Source organism: Homo sapiens, chromosome 20 (genome assembly GCF_000001405.40).
Source record: "Homo sapiens chromosome 20, GRCh38.p14 Primary Assembly".
Lineage (NCBI taxonomy): Eukaryota > Metazoa > Chordata > Mammalia > Primates > Hominidae > Homo > Homo sapiens.
The window spans coordinates 9115356-9136711 of record NC_000020.11 but is presented as its reverse complement, the minus strand read 5'-3'; the positions used below and the strand labels follow the sequence as shown (position 1 = coordinate 9136711).

The 21356-nt window shown below is 37.6% G+C and overlaps 1 protein-coding gene across 10 annotated transcripts in view, besides 1 other annotated feature; it reads right to left on the bottom strand.

Annotated features, from left to right (window-relative positions):
- PLCB4 (phospholipase C beta 4) overlaps positions 1 to 21356 on the bottom strand; it is a 412131-nt gene that overhangs the window by 344097 nt on the left and 46678 nt on the right. The window lies entirely within an intron of this gene.
- Positions 256 to 550: an enhancer, noted in NCBI's record as "tiled region #7247; K562 Activating DNase unmatched - State 5:Enh". NCBI's record gives its function as "activates a minimal TATA promoter and a strong SV40 promoter by Sharpr-MPRA in K562 cells {active_cell/tissue: K562}" and the evidence as "EXISTENCE:reporter gene assay evidence [ECO:0000049][PMID:27701403]".

Genomic DNA, 21356 nt, shown 5'->3' with positions numbered 1-21356 from the left:
TATTGGAATCGACTGTGTGTAGAATATGCACTTACACCCATTTGCAATTCTTTCTGAGTGCACACAGAAGTTGCCAGTGATCTGCCAATCCCTCCACATTCCCACTGATTCAGTTATCAACCACACTTAAAAAGCCTTCCTCTAGGAACTGAAACCCTCTTTTGTAGACTTTTCAGCTACAAGTGCAAGGAGTAAGGCTTCCAGGAAAAGCCCCCAAGCAGTGACCTAGGAGCTGGTAAATAAATAGCCCAGCTCCTTGCCTGCCTTTCCTGTGGGACAACTCGGAAGCATATTCTACCCAGTCTCCAAAAGGGCCCCAGCACAGAGGAGCCTCAGTTGCCCACAGTGGAATCTGCTTATCGGCACACACTGTACTGGCTGACTTTCCTTCCTTATCTCACTTCCTCCACTCCCCTACGGGTGCTTCCCAGGACCACCTCCCAAGTGAGCTACTTGCACTCCAATCCTTGACTCAAACCAGCTTTGGGAGAAGCCAACCTAAGACAATGCATAACTAACAACCCACACTTCTGAAAATAGACTCACTTTAGAGTGTGAGGATATTGTGTGTGGGGTGTGTGTGTGTGTGCATTTATGTGTATAAGAAATGCTGCCTACAGTTTTTACTCTGCACTAAAGTAAAAATGTACCGACCTTGGGGTCAAAAAGTTTTGACTTCTAGTCCCCAGCTTGGCTTCAGACTAGCTCTGTAAACTTCATCAAATAATTCAACCTCCCCAGGCCTCAATTTTCTCATCTGTCAAATGAACTTAGATAAGGGGAGCTCTAAGTTTCTTGTCCAACCTAAAAGCTTGCTAAAAATTTACAGCAGTAAAAGGGACATGAATTATGTGTCCCAGTACTAGGACTTACGCACAACTCCATTCTTCAGAGGATTTTCTTAGACATAGGTAATTCAGGAAAAGCAAAATGTGCTTTTCTATACAATAGAAAAAAGAAATTTTAGAAAGTAAAGATTTAACTTATTAACCAAATGGCTATTAGATATTATTTTAATCAAATTTTCTAGGTTTGACAGCATAAATATAACCAATCATTTTAAAACTCACAAACCTTGCATAAACATCTATTGGAAACCCTCTTAACCCATTATAGGATATACCTATAAAAAATCAAGGTGGGGAAATTAGAAAAATCAAGCCTGGAAATTTCTTATAAATTAATACCCTCAAGAAACAAAGTCGTGCTTTGTAGTTCTGGCTCTGCTGTAACTTCATATGTCTCCATGGGCAAATCATTTCACCACCTCATTCCTCACACCCAACACAGCACTTCCAAGAGAGGCAGACCCAGGATATTCCATAAAAAATGATCAACCGATGAATTCAATAATTACTCTGAGCCTTAGTTGTTTTTGGTGTACAAATTGTTCTGGTTTCTTTTGCCTTTGTTTGGGGGTTAGTTTGTTTTTTCAGTGTTAATAAGGTATACTTGACAAATAAAAATTATATAATCGTTAAAGTTAAATTGTATATTTGGCTCTAGTGAGGTATACTTGACAAATAAAAACCTTGTGTGTATATAAATATATATACACACACATTGTGCAGAAGTTGGGAGGGTTGCACTATCTATATCATTTTGACCATTTCTTTCTACCCTAACATTCCCTCTTGAAATGAAACAATATAGTAATCTAAAATTCTACAGCTTAAATGATTATAATTCTTGCCTTGAAAGCTATTATCTTCTGCCAAAAGGAGCCATTCTACAGCAGTGCTTACCTACTCAATGGCAAAAGTCATTGGATCCCAAATTTTCATAAACTTTAAAAAAAATTGGTGCTTGACATACAGTGTCATGGAATGAATAAAACTACGATTTCTAGCTTTCCTATTTAAAATAATGCCAAAATTCATTCCAACCACCAAATAGGGAAGATGAGTAGAATAAATTAGACAGCTCTTTCACTTTTCTTCCTAACTAGCACATTCATAACAAGTATAACATTGGTTATCAAATAAAAAACATAAAAAGTAACAATTAGCCTCTGAGAAGGACTTTCTGGGATCATGGGGGATGCTCCTACTTTTTCTCTTAGGCAAACAGAACTGTGGGTATTGGAAACGGGAGGCAGAACAGGAACCAAAAGGAAAGTTCTAATTTTGTGTCTTTCTGGGCACACTATCTAAAAAATGGCTTCCTTCCAACTTCCACCAACATGAAGACGGGTCAGCTGCTTCTTGATGATATTTCTTCTGAGTTTCAGGGCCAAGAGGGAGAAGGATATTAAAAAAAATGGGGTTATACAATGTCATTTACCAAAAAGTTACATATTAATTAAATTAATGCAATTATAAATTTGAATGAAGTTAGAAGTACTAATTTATTACTTATGCTAAAAATTATAAAATTATTAAGTAACAGTACATTACCAAGAAGGAAAATAGTAAATTACTGTGGAAATGTTAACTTGAAGATCTATAATCTACTTTCTATATCAGTTGTCCTCAAAGTTGGATGCATAACAGAAACATGTGGGAAACTTAAAAATTCTGAAACTCAGGAAGACCAATTATACCAATAGCTCTTGGGGCTGGACACCAACAATGGTATTTTTTGAGGAACCCAGATGATACTGATGTGCAGGCAAGATTGAGAATAACTGGTCTATATTATGCTAAATTAATGTTAATGCCGCCTTGGGGCAAAAGACAGTGCCTTGAACCAGTCCTTCATTTCTCAAAAATTCTCCCCTGCCCTGGTCTTTACAGTAGGACATTTGAGGCACAAAGCTTTGTCTTCACACTCTTTGCATGTCTTACGTTGTCTCTCAAAGCTACCTGGAGTATTGTGAAGCCCACCTGGAGTTGACACTGATGTCTCCTAAAGGTTTAAAACACAAAAAGACAGAGGAAGAACCACTGTGAAGTGGCATTAAAATCATGTGCACAGGGAGAGCTGCTGTCCACAGTGCCTCCATGGGAATGATTCACCCAATGTGAGGAAAGCTCGCTGAGGGTGGGTCAGCTATCCACTTATGCAGCTTCAGCCCCTTTTCCGGTAGTGGTCTCACGCAAACATTCATTCTTTCCATCAAATACTTCCTAGCCATGTAGCCTGGTGCTAGCTCACCCTGAACTCACAAGCTTGTAGGGACAACAGATTTTAAAAAGTAATTGCAGACTGGGTGTGGTGGCTCACACCTGTAATCCCAGCACTTTGGGAGGCCAAGGTAGATGGATCACCAGAGGTCAGCAGTTCAAGACCAACCTGGCCAACAAGGTGAAACCCCACTCTAGTAAAAATGCAAAAATTTGTTGGGCATGGTGGTGTGCACCTGTAGTCCCAACTACTCGGGAGGCTGAGGCAAAAGAATTGCTTGAATCCAGGAGGCGGGGGCTGCAGTGAGCCAAGATCATGCCACTATACTCCAGCCTGGGTGACAGAGCGAGAGACCATCTCAACAACAACAAAAAAAAGTAATTGCAACTCAGTGTGATCAGAAAAACAGAAGTATGCACAAAGCACAATGATAAAACCCACAGACTATGAGAACAACATAAGCAAAGACCTAAAGGTAAGAAGATATCAAAATAGGAAGTAGTTTGCTGCTGCATAAGAAGCATACATGACAAGTATGAGCCAAAGGTCAGAGGTATGAAATTAGAAAGGGAAGCATCAGCTAGGAGTTAGGGCCTTACCCTACAGCAGTGTTTCTCAACAGAGGCACTACTGACATTTTGGGCTGGTTAATTCCTTGTTGTCGGGGGGTGGTCCTGGGCATTGTGGGATGGTTAGCAGCATCCCTGGCTTCTACTCACTAGAAAATAGTAGCATCTCTATTTTAGTCACTACAATATAGTACAGTAGTGCCCAAGTATAGTCAATAATGTCTCCAATGTCAGATGCCCCTAGAAGCAAAACTGCCCTTAGTTGAGAACCATTGCCCTAGAGGCAGTGAGGAGCTATTGTATAGGCAGAAATAAGTCAGAAATTTGCCGTTTAGAAAAAGCAATCTGATTGCAATGTAGAGAATGAAATGCAGTGGTGGGCATCGCAAACGATAAATCCAATAGAAGAATCCACATATCTGTGTCCATGCTTACAAGCACTTTTATAAGGATATCAAGAGTGTCAGCACTCTCAACTGGATCTAATTTACTAATTTATTCACCAGGCTTATGAATAAGAATCAAGTATAGTTTTTCATTATGTTAACCATCTTTACAATATGAAAACTTCCTAAAGTTGGACTCTAGGTTGTAGGACTTGGAGTCACTGCTCTTTTCTTCATAATTCTCAGTGTCTTTCACAACCTGAATGAATAAAAGAGCTATTACTCTTAAAGGTAGCTTCCTTAAGTATAACTATGTGGAAATAAAAATACTGCATGACATTCAGTTGCAAAGGTAGAAGCAGTGATCTCACAATTTAACAACCACACACACACACACACACACACAAACATTATGCCCTTGCTGACTATGCTCTTAATGGCACTATAGCATTATGAAATGCAGTCTTCTATGAGCCACAACATACACAAGGTCCCCTTTGTCCTTTTGCACAGACCATGTAAAGTAGGACATGGTTTTAGTTATCTATTGCTTTGTAACTAACTACTGTAAAACTTAGTAATTTAAAACAACAATAAATTATTCCTCACAATTCATTAAGTTGGCTGTGCTCAGCTGGGCAGTTCTTCTGTTGTAAATGGTGTAGCTGAGGTCACTCAATAGACTGCAGTCAGTTGGGAGTTTGACTGGGGCTGGAACATGCGAGACGGCCTCTCATCATTCAGGGTCTCTATCGATGTGGCCAATCACTTAATAGTCTAGTCCAAACATTTATGTAGCATCAAGGTTGGCTTCCAAGAAGCAGCATTCCAAGAAAACAAGCCCAAATGATTATCAAGCCTCTGCTTGTATCATTTTTACTAATGTCCCATCAACCAAAGGAAGTTATATGGCCAAGTCTAGAGTCAATGAGGAATATAATAGACAAGGGCATGAGTGATAGGAGGCAGAGTTCAGCAGGGTCACCAAATGTAACAGTCTACCATGGTTGGAACAGGATTTCCTTGTAAACCAGATTCTTTTGCCCAGACTTTTTGAACTACGAACCAACAGATTTATTAAAAATCAGTGACTACATATATGAATCAATCTATATCAAATTAAAACTGCAACCACCATACACGTTAGTCCCTTCCTGGGCCAAACAGAAGCACTCTGATACAGAGGCTATGCCCTTAACCACCAACTGCACTCAAAGGAGCCAATCTCATTCCTTCAACAAGTAAAGTTATTACCAGTCACAGAGATCCAATAATATCTTATTACTGAGGACCCAAGGTAAGATTCAGAGCTCAACTTTCAGGAAGCTGCCTGACTCTAGCTTTAGCTTAATATTTTGTTTCAGAAGGAGGGAGGAAAAGAAGGAAGGAAGCAAGGAAGGAAGGAAAGAAGGAGGGAAGGAAGGAAAAAGGGAGAGAAAGAGGGAAGAGAGATTGATCGATCAGTTAGTCAATTGGTTGATAAATCAATTGATGGGGCAATAGATGTACCGAAAGATTACTAGCTAAACAGAAAGAACTGATCATTCTCAGGTATCTTCAGAACAGAGCAGATCTGGCCCAGAGTAGAAAGTCAGTTATTGCTCCTTGAATTAAAAAAAAAGAGTCAAGTTATGCTATTAGTACCACCCCTAAGCATGCAATGTAACTTCACATGATGCTGTTACATGCTGGCCATGAGGCCCATGGACATGCAAGAGGCTTAGAGAGGCTGAGCTGTTTTCCCAGGAAACTCTCCGATTCCTTTCACAAAGAAGAATGGACTTCATTTTATCTGTCTAAATTAGACCTCCCCTATTTTGATGGACATAATGAATATGATGGTCTGTGTTGGCACAGAGAAACAATGACTAAGTTTGCTTTGCTTGGGCTTCATATTACTTCTTGCTTATCTGATCACAACTTCAATTCATCCTACTTTTTAAAAAGCTTATTTTTTCCAGTTACCACTGTGCTAAGTTAACAAAAAGGATTTCCAACCTCCAGTATATGAAATCAGATAAGTTTGTTCCTAACTTAAGGAGATAAATTATCATGTGCAAACGTCATCCATGGGTTTCATGGGAAAACAGTCCAAAACAGAAAACATCTGCTATGATACTCTTTCAATGACTTTAAAGAGGAAACACTTGCAGTGACATTACTGTCTATTTTCTGTAGCTGTAACTGCTTTCTACGTTGAAAGTTATTCATTTACTATAAACCAGCTAGACGACACAGCAATTAGAGTAATTTATCTTTTAAATTCAGAAGAGGAAGATCTAGGCAGACTTTTGAAGTATGCATGCATCTACTGCATCATACACAATTAAAAGATTTATTTTTGGTGTGGGGAGTGTGGAAGCTGGCTGCAGTTTTTAGAAAGGCACACATTTTCCCTTTGAAATGGTTTACTGAGTTTCTGCAGTAGCTGCCTTAAATAAGGTTGGTGTGTAAATACTTAAACTAATCTCCTACATTAACAGCTCCCAAAGATCAATGGAACTTCACACCTCCCTAGAAGCCAGACACCCCCAAAGACACTGAAGCACAGCTCTGACTTACATTGTCGGCTGCATTGCATTTTCATCTTGAGTAGCAGCTCTAGTACAAGAAACTTCATCTGTTTCTAAGCTTGCTGCTAAATACATAATTTAATATTAAAAATACAATACACAGAGAATGCCAAAATGAGCCAAGAACAACAAACTAGATACAACCAAGAGAAGCCCCAGAGGCTAAACATGGTAGCAAAAGGAAGAAACAAGAATCTATATATAGAAAACAACTATCCTATCCAACAAAAGACCTATTTGTTTGTAGAGCTGTTTTTCTTCTTTCTTCGGGATCCAGCTCCATGTATGGTAATTAAATTGGGAGAATAAGTTGTTGAGTTAGAAACGAAGCAAAAATAGAGTTTTGAAAACATGTGTATAAAATGTTACAACAAGGTTTAAATGCTCATATGAACAGATTTAATTTTATTCGGAACATCACTTGAATGGGGTGGGAAGGCAGATGTACCCCCAACTAAGAATCCACCACACATATTGAAATCTCACTGTTGCTCTCCAAAAAGAGAGTATCCCTGGGTGTAAATAGATATTCACAGTGCACCTTTTTAACTCCCTTAGATGTGTTCTCCTTTAGGCATACCTTAAGTCAGTATTTGAGAACAAGAAGTTTATTTGGGAGGAAATATTCCAGGAAACACAAGGTGACTGAGGAAAAGTGAACCAGGGAAGGAAGCCAGTATAGAATGTGATATCAAGCAGATTACCACCAAGGGTAACTGCGGTCTGATCCCACTGGGGAACTCGGGGAAATGTGAAGAATACACTTCTCCAGTTATTCCACCCCAGAAGCAAGGGACCTGGTATAGTTATACACCAATTTCTATCCTAATTGGTGGGAGGGGGACTGACTTTTCGGCCCATATGTGAGTACGGCAGGTGGTCAGAAGACACCCTCAGGTAAGAAGACACAGATGCAGGCAGTTGGAAATTGGGCATAAAAATGCTAAGTACCAAAGCAGGGATGTGAAGAGAGATTTGCACATCCATGTTCATACCAGCATTATTCACAATAGCCAAAAGGTGGAAGCAACCCAAGTGTCCATTGATGGATGAGGGATCAACAAAATGTGGTATACACATATAATGGAACAGTATTCAGCCTTAAAACACAAGGAAATTCTGACACATACTACCATATGGATGAACCTTGAGCACATCATTCTAAGTGAAATAAGCCAGACACAACAGGATAAATACTATATGACTCCACTTATATGGGGAACCTAGAGTAGTCAATTTTGCAGAGACAGAAAATAGAATGGTGGTTGCCAGGAGCTGGGGGAGGGAGGAATGGAGGTTTCTGTTCAATGGATATAGAGTTTCAGTTTTGCAAATGAAAAAGTTCTGGAGATGAATAGTAATGATGGTTGTGCAATTCTGTGAATGTACTTAATGTCACTTAACTGTTCACTTAAAAAATGGTTAAGACTGGCTGGGTGCGGTGGCTCATGCCTGTAATCCCAGCACTTTAGGAGGCCAAGGCAGTGGGTGGATCACTTGAGGTCAAGAGTTGGAGACCAGCCTGGTCAATAAGGCGAAACCCCGTTTCTACTAAAAATACAAAAATTAGCTGGGCATGGAGGTACACTCCTGTAATTCCAGCAACTTGGGAGGCAGAGGATGCAGTGAGCCAAGACTGCGCCACTGCACTCCAGCCTGGGTGACAGAGTGAGATTCTATTTCAAAAACTAATTTAAAAAAATGGTTAAGATGGTGTGTTAGTCCATTTTGGTATCTCTACAAAGAAATGCCTGAAGTTGGGTAATTTATAAAGAAAGGTTTAATTGGCTCATAGTTCTGCAGGTTGTACAAGCATGGCTCCAGCATAAGCTTCTGGTAAGGGCCTCGGGAAGTTTACAATCAAGAGGGAGCAGGTGGTGTCACATGGAAAGAGTGGGACTGAGAGAGAGAGAAGAGGGGACATACCACACTCTTTTAAACAACCGGATCTCATGTAAACTACTAGAGAAAGAACCCCTCATCCAAGAGGATAGCGCTAAGCCATTCATGAGGGATCCGTGCCCATGATCCAAACATCTCCCACCAGGCCCCACCTCCAACAATGGGGATTACATTTCAACATGAGATTTGGAGGGGACAAACATCCAAACTATATCATATCAAAAATATGGGCCGGGCGTGGTGTCTCACGTCTGTAATCCCAGCACTTTGGGAGGCCGAGGCGGGCAGATCACTTGAGGTCAGGAGTTCAAGACGAGTCTGGCCAACATGATAAAACCCCGTCTCTACTAAAAAAATACAAAAAGTAGCCGGGTGTGGTGGCAGGCACCTGTAATCCCAGCTACTCAGGAGGCAGAGGCAGGAGAATCACTTGAACCTGGGAGATGGCAGTTGCAGTGAGCCAAGATTGTGCTACTGCACTCCAGCCTGGGTGACAGAGCAAGACTCCGTTTAGATAGATGGATGGATGGATAGATAGATAGATAGATAGATAGATAGATAGATAGATAGATAGATAATTTTACCACCGTTTTTTTTAAAAGTTAAATGTTGAGTAGTATGGGCAGGGCACCTGAAGTGTCTAACAACCCACTCAAAGACCTACCTCAAAGATCTTCAAAGAGAGGCCCAAGGAAAACCATCCATAGAAATCTGGGGAAAGGGACTACTCTACTTAAAAAATCAATTTATTCACTTTTTTTCTCATTATAAGACTAATATATGATCACTGATGAAAACTTGGAAGATACATAAAAATAAAAATAAGAAATTTTTAATCATCTATTATTTTATCACAGAGGTGGCTTTCAGGATGAGCAGTATGAAGTACCTCATGCCTCCTATGTGAGGCGTGTTCCTTGAACCAAGAGAAATGGCTTTCCCTAGGAGTTTGTTAGAAATGCAGAGTCTCAGGCTCCCGGACCTGCTGCCTGGGAAGCTGCATTTTAACAAGATACTCGGGTGATTTGTGCACACCTTAGAGTTCAATGAGCATTGCTTTAACACCGCCCTTCTACTTCTGTCTATGATTTCTGAAAAGGGTTAGAGCTACTAAACCTCTAGTGCCTTGGTGGTAAAACGTCCACTCTCTTTTGTGGAAAGTAATTCCCATCTAGCTTTAAAATGAGGAAATACAGTATCTGGCACAGAGGATATGCTATGTAAGTATGTGACTTATGACTGTTAGTATTACAGGTAATGTCAACTGAAAGAAAACCAGTGGAAAGTGACAGCAAAGTAGGGCATTTTATTTTATTTTGCTGGAATAGAAAAATCTATCATAAGGCAAGCTAAAATGGTTTTCTCTCAAGACTGAATGCTTCCTTTGTGATGCAGTTCAGTATTCTTAGACTTTTTTCAGACCTCAAAAAAAAAAAAAAAAAAAGCAAATGAAATGACATGTTAAAACTTGCTCTGAATCTCTTGCATTTCCAAGGCTGCTGCTGGTTTGTTGTGCTTAATGTATTTTTTCCTTCATTCCATACCAACTTTGTAAGCAACAATAGGACTTTGTTAGCTTGTGCAATGATGCAATTATATTATAAGTGCATTAGCCCTCTCACTCACAATAAGAATCTGACTTCAGAAACAAAACACAAAATTCACTACCAAAGTAATATGTTATCATGGTAACATGTTAAAGAGTTCTTTAAATATGAAGTATACGATCTACTTTTGCTTAGATTTAAAACTTAAAATATGGAAGGAAGAGTGAAGGGGACTAGGGGAAGGAAAACAAATTGAGTCATGAAGGAGCCATATAACATTTTAAAACATATCAAACACACATCAAGAGCCTTCACATGATCATTCTTTGACCCAGTACTTCTGCTACTAGGAATTTATTCTAGGGATGTGTAAAAACACGTGTCTTCAGTGAATGACATTCCTTACAGCAATACTTAAAATAGCAATTTTTAAAAGTAAACAATGTTTACAATATTAGACAACTTGTTAAATAAACTTAATTCGTTTATAGAAAAGTAGAGTATAGCATTCAAAATAACACTTGCTTAGAAGTATATTTAGTGAAATAAAAATATTAATATTGTTTTTATTTAAAAATGCAAGTTATAAAAAGTATGGATAGTACAATCCCATTACTGTCTTTACTTTTACACACACACACATACATGCATACACACACACACAAATTTGTCCCCTTTTCTGGTCTTAATCTTCTTCACAGTGCTCATTACTACTAGACACATAGTGACCTTAGGTTAATGCCTGTCTCCCCCAACAAAGTAAACTTCAGGGAAAGAGGGGATGGTTCTGGTCACTGTCATGTCCCTATTGCCTCACATTGTGCCTGGCACATAGTAGACAAGCAACAAATATAAACTGAGAAATAAAGGACTGAACTATAATTATATGTGTATACGCATATAGAGACAGACACGAGACACTGGAAGGTAGTCCCACAAATATCAATAGGGCTATGGCTGGGTGGTAAAAATACACATCCTTTTATTTTCTCCTTATGTTGGTCTCTAGTTTCTAAATTTTATGCCATGAACCTCTAAGAAGAATAAAAGATATAAGCCCTTATTCATATATGCATGTGTGCATTCATATACATATATAAAGAGATTCTTATATTTGATTGTCTAGTAGGAATATCCCTCATTACGAGTTATATCTAAATTGCCAAGTTATACATTGGAAAAATAACACACTATTTTATTCTCTACTTTAGGTGAAGAAAATGAAATTTAAAAATGTGGAACAAGTGGTTTGAAAAAAAACACACAACTAATCCATTTTTACTTCTTACCACACACATTCATTAAGTTCCATACCAAGCATAAAATCAGAGAGTATAATATACCTTAATAAACTGCTTCTTATTTCATTAAAAATAAGTTTTTAGTTTTATGAATTGTATGTTGCATTTTGTAATTTTAGTGGAAAAATGACAGTTTCACAGGTAGAACAATACACATCCTATTGTTTTATTTTTATTATATTAAAACTAGCAATTGCTTCAGAAGGCAGCTAAACTGGATCACGGTGTTCTCATTGGTCTGAAAGCAGAATTGCCATCAAGAGACACGCCTGGTGAATTGATGGAGTCAAGCGTATTTCAGGCATTCAGAGAACATCCCTTGAAATAAATTAATGGGGCCAGGCTTAACATTACAATGCATCTATTTGAAAAGGTTTAAAATGAAATGTATTTCCTGGGCAATCTTCAATGTAACTATTTTATTTCCTTATAAGTAATATAAACACTTCATAATAAACTTTTTAAAATACAATACAGGAGATAAAAACAATTGTCAATTACAAAGATGAGACTTATCAACTAACACTGCAAAACAAAGTTCATATAAAAAGATGATACATGCAAATAAAAGCATAATGTTAAAAGGGATCAGGAATATTTCTCCCTGGGGAATGGCCAAGGGAGTTTGTGAATTGGTCACAACACTAAGACCCCCTTGGACTCTCCAGTACTTGAAACCTCACATCAGCTAATTCTCTGCCTTTTTTCTCTTATCATTGCTTGTTGCTTGTTTCTTAAATACAGTCTCTCATTCACAGTCTGTAAAGTGTTAAATCACTATTCTATAAAAGAGGTATTTTCTTTATTTGCCTTTATTCACCAATCTCACTGTGATATTTACCTCTTACAAAATATAAGATTTTACTTTTTTAGAGACAGGTCCTATTCTGTCACGCAGGCTGGAACGTACTGGCACCATCATACCTCACTGCAGCTCTGAACTCCCAGGCTCAAGGGATCCTCCCATCCCATCTCAGCCTCCCAATTAGCTGGGACTACAGGCATGTGCTACCACACCTGGGTAATTTTTATTTTTTTATTTTATTTTTGCCCAGGCTGGTCTTGAACTCCTGGGCTCAAGCAATCCTCCCACTTCAGTCTCCCGAAGTTCTGGGATTACAGGTGTGAGCTGTCTCACCCGGTTGAGATTTAATTTTGTAAATGATTTTTATTTTAATATTCTAGACCAGAGGTTGGCAAACTATAGCCTATGGGCCACATCAGGCCAGTCACCTGCTTTTGCAAAAGCCCAAGAGCTAAGATTGGTTTTTACATATTTAAATAGCTGAAAAAAATTAAAAGAAGAATAATATTTCAACTCCCATCATAATTATATGAAATTCAAAATTCAGCATACATAAATACAGATGTGTTGGAACCCAGTCCCACACACCCACTCACTTAGGTATTGCCTGTGGCTGCTTTTGTGCTACAACACTGAATAATCACAACAAACGGTATACTCCACAAAGCCCAAAATACTTTCTGGCCTTTTACAGAAAAAGTCTGCCAACTCCTGCTTGTGACAGCTACATACAACATAGATCTGTAAATAACTGTGTTATACAGGTTTTGTATACCATTTGAAAGAAATGAAGTCATTTATATAAGAAAACCTATTTTACATCTGTGATCAACAACTACCTATCTACCTACTTATCTACCTATGTTATCTTTGTAAAAGTTTGGGTGAAAGATCTGAAGAAATAATCACCAAATTGTTCATGGTAATTGCCTCTAGGGAAGATGAGAAAATGAAGAGAGAAGGTGGAATTGAACAAAATATTTTTTACTCATCTATATTGTTTATCCCAGCAAGCAGGTATTACTTCATGTTAAAAAATAAAAAGAAGAAATAAACTTTAAGGGGCACTCTTCACATACAAAATATTGACTTTAAGAACATGATAAAATTAAATAGCTGAAATATATATAAAAAAAAAAAAAGAGGAGATTTCCAGGAGTTTCTTAAAAGAGTGATATTTAGAATTGGCACATTCAAAGCAAAAGGCATCTTTAACCATGAAAAAATGTGAAATGTTACTCAGGCCATATTTACAAGCTGCAGTAAAATATTTTCAAAGTACACAGATTTTCAAAGGCAAATACTATTCAAAAACTAATGATAAACAGGTAGTGAAGAATATACTTTTTTTAATAGACTGTAGCTTCACTGAATCAAATGGAAATCTCCAATTTCCATCCTTCTCCTCACTCCAACATGTCAGCTGAAATTAATTCATTGCATATTTAATAAATACCTTAGTAAAGAAATGTTTTTTACTTTTTAAAATCTCTTGATTTAAAAAAATATTTTTCCCAAACTATATTGTAAAAACATAAAAATTGTATAGCTATATGCTCAAGAGTACATTTTTACTGTTTCTTATGTTTTTAATGAACACTAAAATCTTTCAGAGAACAGATACTGTATCCAGACAGGTCCATGATGCAGTACATCCTTACTGAACCACTGCATTTATAATTCAATTCCTACACATTTATAAATGTTGGCTTTTAAACTGCAAGCCCAATGGTCCCTTTAACTACACTTAGATGCACAATAATTGACAGCTCATTACAACAAGTGGTCTCAAGAGTGAAGTATAGAGCTAATGGTCTGTAAATGCTTTAGTCTCCAAACTTGGGCCAACACTGAGGCAAGTAAAATTGGTCCTTTCTTTACATGCGCGTGATTTTTAACTGCCTGCATCAAGCAAAACTGATCTCCCTACTTCTAATGTCTGAAATACTGCATATGTACATTAAGAGTGCATGGCTAGTTAATCTATATTGTCTTGTGAAATTGACTATGATGTGACAATTCCCAAGTATCCACATTGTGAAGAGGAGTAGAAATGATTTTAAAGCAATGAAACAAAACACCTAAGTATCCAGTAACAGAAGATTCCTGGGATAACTTATAATTCTTCCTGTTTTAAAGGTATGCAACCATTAAAAACCATGTTTAAAACAAAATCACGTAGGACGTAATCACAATATAATGTTAACAGAAAAAAAAACAGGATTGTATGTCCAATATAATCCCAATTTTATTTTAAAATACAGTATATAATAGGTAATGTATATAACATCGAGTTATAGTTATAGTAATTTTTGTGTGTGGTAAAACAACAGTGATCTTTATTTTTATGTTTTCCTGAATTTACAGAGTTATCTACGACAAGCACCACTTTTACAATCAGAAAGATAATATTTAAATACAATAATGTTTCTTTGTCTCTCTTCTTATCAGTATACATCAAAACTTGCCATTAAATATTAAACTAGCTAGTCCATCCACAATGAGAGAAACCAAACAACACACTCATGTTTAAATTTACCTTCAAGTGCAAACACTGACAAAAAGGAAATATTTAATAACATTTCTATTTGAAAGTCCTGAGGAAAGCAAAGTTGACAGGAATGCCGCTGGTAATAATTCGACTTGAAAACTATAATATTTTGCAGCTATAATTCACAAATTTTATAACTAAAATACATAAATTTGGTGTCAGGAATAAACATTAAATATAATCAACCTAATATAAGCAATTGGAAAACATGAAATAATTTCCATAATTGCAAGCATTGCATTGCATTTCTGAAACTGATGTCCTTTACCCATATTTGTCAGAGCTGAGTTTTGAATGAAATGAATACAGTTCATTCAAAACTTGATATTAAAGTGCTGTTTCCACTGAAGACTTGTCTTTCCCTTTCACAGGAAAACCAGCAATTCTCCCTAAAGGATTTCTGAATATTCTAGTAGTACATTTTATATCGGTGTGTTCAGTAACTGGCCTACTTGTGCTAGGAAATTATAAACAAGCCACTTCCTACATTTAGACCAGACAAAAGCTGGTCCTGCCATAGGGACAAATATTTACGACTGACTAATTGAAATTAAAGGGTGGAGAATGGACAACTCAGAAGAAACAGAAAATGGTGAGAAATTAGGGCAAAAATAGAGAACAGGTGGGACGACACGTAAGCGGCGTTCAGAGCCCTGTGGAGAAGCCAGAAGCAAGGAGAGAAAATTCTGGTCATTGTGGGTGATGGTTACTAAACAAAAAAACTAGTTAAAAAAAATAGAGAGCAAGGAATATTCCATATCAGGGACTAAGAAATTCAAGAAACATTCATCCAGGTGTTAGGTGAATTCCAAGTGCTCTCTGGGTACTGTGGTGGCCACAAAAGTGGGTCAATGGCGCACTGCCTTCTGGAAATTGACAGGTAGGGCCTCCAATGGTGTGTGGATAAAATCCAACAAAGGGAAAAGCTTTGAGACCTTCCAGAGAGATCTAAAGAGCCAGGAGATGGTCAAGACGGGTAGATCATCCCGGTGAGGGGTGTGGTGAGGTTCCAGTGTGAGGAGGGCTTCAGGGAGATGGCACTGGGGCTGAGAGCTGTGATGGCACAACAACACATGTGGGGCAAAGGACAGCTCAGGTGGGGACCTCAAGAGCAGGTGGAAACACCAAAAGAGAGCAGCTCATTTTGTTTAGGGACCATTCAGTTCAGGGAAGGCAGATAAGGCTGGGAGTGAGGTGGAGACCTCATAGCATGGAGGAGGAGGCTCCTGACGGTCTAGTTAAGGAATTTTGACATTATTCACCTGGCCGTGGAAACCCATGGAAGACTGCAGCAGGGCACCTTGGGATCAGAATGGTGCTTCCAGAAGGTGAGTGGAGGTGAGCTTGGGTCAAGGGAGTGCAGGAACATATGGGGAAACCCATTAGGAAGCAAATGACACTCTGCAGATGAGAAGTAGTATTGACCCAGACAATGGATCCAAGAGGATGAACATGGGAGAGATTTTGGAACTAGAATACAGAGCAACTAGTAATTACTCACTATAAAGAGAGAGAAGGGGAGATGGCAAGATGTTGCTAAGAGAGAGAAAGGAAGAAGAGAGAGGTTTAGAAAAGGAGCAGGTCGGCTGGGTACGGTGGCTCACTCCTGTAATCCCAGCACTTTTGGGAGGCCAAGGTGGGTGGATCACTTGAGTTCAGGAGTTTGAGAAAAGGAGCGTGTCAAGGGAGAACAGATGAAATGGGAATTTGAATAAGACATTCAGAGAGGGCCTTGAACTGTTCCCAATCCCTCCTTTTAATCTGACATGGCTATCTTCATTATCTATTAATAATGAGGCTGCACACAGTAGGCACTCAGGAGAAGACTGCACTCAGTCAGTTTGTTCACTTCCGTAACGCAGATGGGCCTTCACATAAGGAGAGCAAGGAGGGATCCTTCTTAGAGCAGTGCCCACAGCTCTGCTGCTGGGGCAGAATAATTAGCACAGATGCCCGAGGCAGACTGGCTGCCAAAGCAGATTGCTGAAAGAAAGGGGAACTGCCAGGTCATGTGTCCGACCGGCTGGTATCACTCCACTCTCAACAGTGTCTGCAAACACACTCCCGGCTTCTTAGAGGTGTATCATCTGATCTTCCTAATAGGCTGTCATATGCTAAAAGATTAAGGAAAAGAATTCTTACACTGCCTAAGGCAACAGCGTGGTTTGTGTTTTTAAAATTAGTAAGGTGGCAAAGAATCTCCTTAGGAAACATTACAAGATGAGTTATAAAACTTACCGTACTGCGTAAACACTAGCAGATGGTTGCCAACAAATCTTTAATTATCTTCAACTCATTATGCAGTCATTAACCTTGACAAATTAATAAAGGTGAACTAATAAACTTGTAGGCTTATATAACTTAAACAGTTCCAAACCACAAAGAAGATATAGATAGATGTTGATCAAATGATTTCGATGGGATCCTTTTCATCTCTCCTAAAACTGTATGGTAAAATTGCTATGGAGTGACTACTTTGTTTTTTTTTTTTTTCTCCTTTCTCTTTATACACTGTAAGAGAGACTAAGATAAGTTCCAAGCTATTAAACTATTTGTGATGATGTACAAGTCTTCATCATAATTGGGGGCACACTTTCTTTTGACCTTTACAAAACTTTCATTTCCCAAATGTGACAGATAAGAAGTACTTTTATAGCACCAATAATGATTTTTTCCTATGGGAACTTGCCAATTATAAGCTGAAAACGAAGAAAAGTCCACATTGGAAGTCCATTTAGAATCTCAATACAGCTGAAAATTTGAAGAATTATGCTTGGAGGATAGTGCAGGTAAGTTAAGAATGTAACCTAGAGAAATACACATTAAAATAGTGTGAGGGCAAATACTTGCTCCCTTAGCATTTAGCAAAATGCTAAGGGCCCATAAAATGTACTTAATAAAATGTGACTATTAGTCTAAGCTTTTGAATATGAATAAAAGCCTGGGAAAAATTAATTCATGATGCCCACAGCTGTTTCAGTAACACGTACAATGTACAACACAGTTAGGCATCAAGTTCTTATCAACTCACCAGACTTCCGATATCTTAAGAATTTCATCTTATTTTTCTCATCCTAGCAAGATGCTCAGAGCACATGAGAGCCTTAATAAAGGTGACAGTTAACTGAGCCCATTCAGATACCACAATAGTGTTCCAGTAAAGGATATGTGCTAATGCCTCACTTTTCTCTAACAATAAATCACTTTTTATGGGATCTTGATTTTACTCCTAATTTGACTTGGATTTTCATTACTTACACATGCTAAATAAAATTCATTCATTCATTCACTTGTTCACCCATTCAGCGAGTCTCTAATGATTTTTCCCTGTGTCTCAGGCATTGTTCTGTTCTAGCCCTCCACTGTCACATATGGAAGGAACCAATCACATGTGGCTACTGAGCACTTGAAATGTGGCTCATTCAAACTGAGATGTGCTGTGTGTAAATTACACACCAGATCTTGAAGACTTAATTAAAAAAAGAATGTAAAATGTCTTGATAATTTTTATATTGATTATGCATGAAAATAATATTTTAGATATGTCATGCTTTAAAAGTTAATATTAATTTGTCCTTTTTCTTTTTTTTTAACTTTTTAAAGTTATTTTTATTTCCGTCTCTTTTATTAAATTCTTTGTTTATAGAAGATTGCACTTACCGTTGCTCTGTTCTCATATTTTATAAGCACTTTGTTGTTTTTTTTTTATTATTATACTTTAAGTTTTAGGGTACACATGGACACAGGAAGGGGAATATCACACTCTGGGGACTGTGGTGGGGTGGGGGGAGGGGGGAGGGATAGCATTGGGAGATATACCTAATGCTAGATGACGAGTTAGTGGGTGCAGCGCACCAGCACGGCACATGTATACATATGTAACTAACCTGCACAATGTGCACATGTAACCTTTTTCTTTTAATGTTTGTAGGATGCCACTAGAAAATTTGATATATAATGATAGTCAACACTTTAGACAAAGCTTTTTTTTTTGAGGACTTTATATTCTACTTGAAGAAGCCAATGGTAAACAAAGAAATAAATAATAAGCAAGCTTATATAATTTCAGATAATAAAAAATATGTAAAGAAAATAAAGTAAGAGAAAAGAATGTGACCAAAAAGGGTTATTTTAGAAAGGGAAGCCACGGAAGTCTGTTCTAGGGAAGTGACAGCTGAGCAAGAAAAATGCACGATAGGTAGAGGTAGTAGTATAATGAGCTGGAGAATGTTCTAGGCAGGGGGAGCTGCCAATGCAAAGGCCCTGGGGTAGGAATAAGGTAAGCAAGTTTCAGCAACAGCAAGAAGGCCAGTGTAGCCGAGGCACAGGAGAACAAAAGCAGAGCAGGTTAGAAGAAAGAAAAGGGTCAGAATATAGGAATCTTGGTTGGAAGTTTAGGCTAAATTCTACATCTAAAGGAAAGCCATTGGAGGATTTTTCAGCAGGGGAATCACACAATCTTATTTAAATTTTTGAAGATAATTCTGGCTGCTGTGTGGAGGACTGATTAAGCACGGATAGGAATGGACACAGGAAATCAGTCAGAAGACTCACAGCATTCCAGGTGCGATTTCCATCATTCAAATCAATGTGGTTGAACTGATGCTCTCACATGCTACTGGTGGCAGTGTAAAAGGATTTAAAGCTTTCTACAAAGCAATTTGGCAACACATATCCTGAGCTGTAAAAATATGTTCACACCCTTTGACAGAAATTACAAAATTGAATCCCAATAAAATAACTGGAAAGGTGAAAAAATGTATGAAGGTGTACACTATAATTGTATTTAAAATAGAAGCTATCAGGAACTTCCCATGTGTTCAACAGCAAAGTAAATGATGAATGAAGTATTATATAGTCATTAAGTTACAAGTATGAAAACCAAGTAACTACAGATAATAGAATTCTCTACAGAAGAAATCCAAATGAATCTGTAGACAAATTCGGACAAATTGGAGTGTTAAGCAAGGCTGCAGAAAAAGCAGGGACATTCAAAAACCAACGCTTTCGTATACACCAACCACAATGAATTAGAAAATTCAGTTTTAAAAATTCACATTCACAACAACAAAAACTCTAAGGCATGCAGAAATAAGTTGAATAAAAAACATGCAGGATGTTATAGAAAAAGTAATTTTTGAGAGACATTAAAAATGACCTAAATCAATAGTTAGAGCCAGCATATACATAGGTGGGTAGACTCGATATGTTAAAGATGTCCATTCCCCACCCTCATTTAATCTATAAATTTCATATATTCAAGTCAAATTTCCACTGGGATTTTTTTTCATGGAACTTGACAAGCTGTTTTTTAAAATTTATTTGAAGGGTAAAGGGGCCAAAAATAGCCAAGACTTCAACCTACCACATACCAAAAGTTTCTATAAAGCTATTGTCATGGCTGAGATTAGGGAAGGCAACCGAGGCTCCTACAGCCTAAGGGCAGATGTCTGCACCAATTCTATGTCCAGCGCACCTTGCTTGCCTCATCCTAGTCTTAGCTCTGTGATACTGATATAAGGATAGGTGAGGCAAAACTAATGGAATAGAACTGGGCAGACAAAATGGTTGCAGATATGTACATTTTTAGAATACACAACAATACTCTGCATGTGTGTATCTATGTACATGCACAATGTATATATATGTGCACACATATATATCTTATACGTACATATAAGGGACACATACATGAGACAAGAGTATAAAAACATAAACAGAAAAGAAAAATAGAATTCTGAAAAGTTACTTCTGGGGAATGTGAAATGGAGTGGAGTGAGGGGAATTGAACTGGGCACTAATATTTTCATAACTTTAAATTTTGTTTCATAAAAGATTTGAAGCCATACACACACACACACACGCGCACACACACACGGATACAATATCAGAAATGCTAATTTTATAAGTGAAGAATAATACAAAATTATATATATATATTCACATTTCTAGCTATAAATATGTGTGGTCCATGTGGAGGATTCAAAATGTACAAAAAACGATATTGGCTCTTATGTTAAAGTACTAAAATTATAAAAGAGGTATGTTTTTCTGTTTCCCAAATTCCTGTTACATTACTTTAAAATGGTGTTTAATGTTTGATAAAGCATATTACAAATTTGAAAAAGGCCAAATCTAGAGCCTAAAATCATACTTAAAATATAATTATATGAAATAATTTAAGATAAACTTTGCTAATGCTAAACAACTACCTGTGGCCTGCAAGTATTCATTAGGATTAAGAAGAATCAAGCCCATCAATAATCCAAATTAAATGAATAAATTCATATTAATTACACTAAATTTACATTTCAATTATACTATAAGAAGTTTTACCGCATGTTCTCACTCATAGGAGGGAATTGAACAATGAGAACACACGGACACAGGAAGGGGAACATCACACACCAGGGCCTGTTGTGGGGTGGGGGGAGGGGGGAGGGATAGCATTAGGAGATATACCTAATGTTAAATGACGAGTTAATGGGTGCAGCACAACAACATGGCACATGTATACATATGTAACAAACCTGCACATTGTGCACATGTACCCTAAAACTTAAAGTATTAAAAAAAAAGAAGAAGAAGTTTTAAAAATCTATTCATAAAGCACTATAGTGTAGAGGTATTTTTATTATTAAATAATATATAGGGAG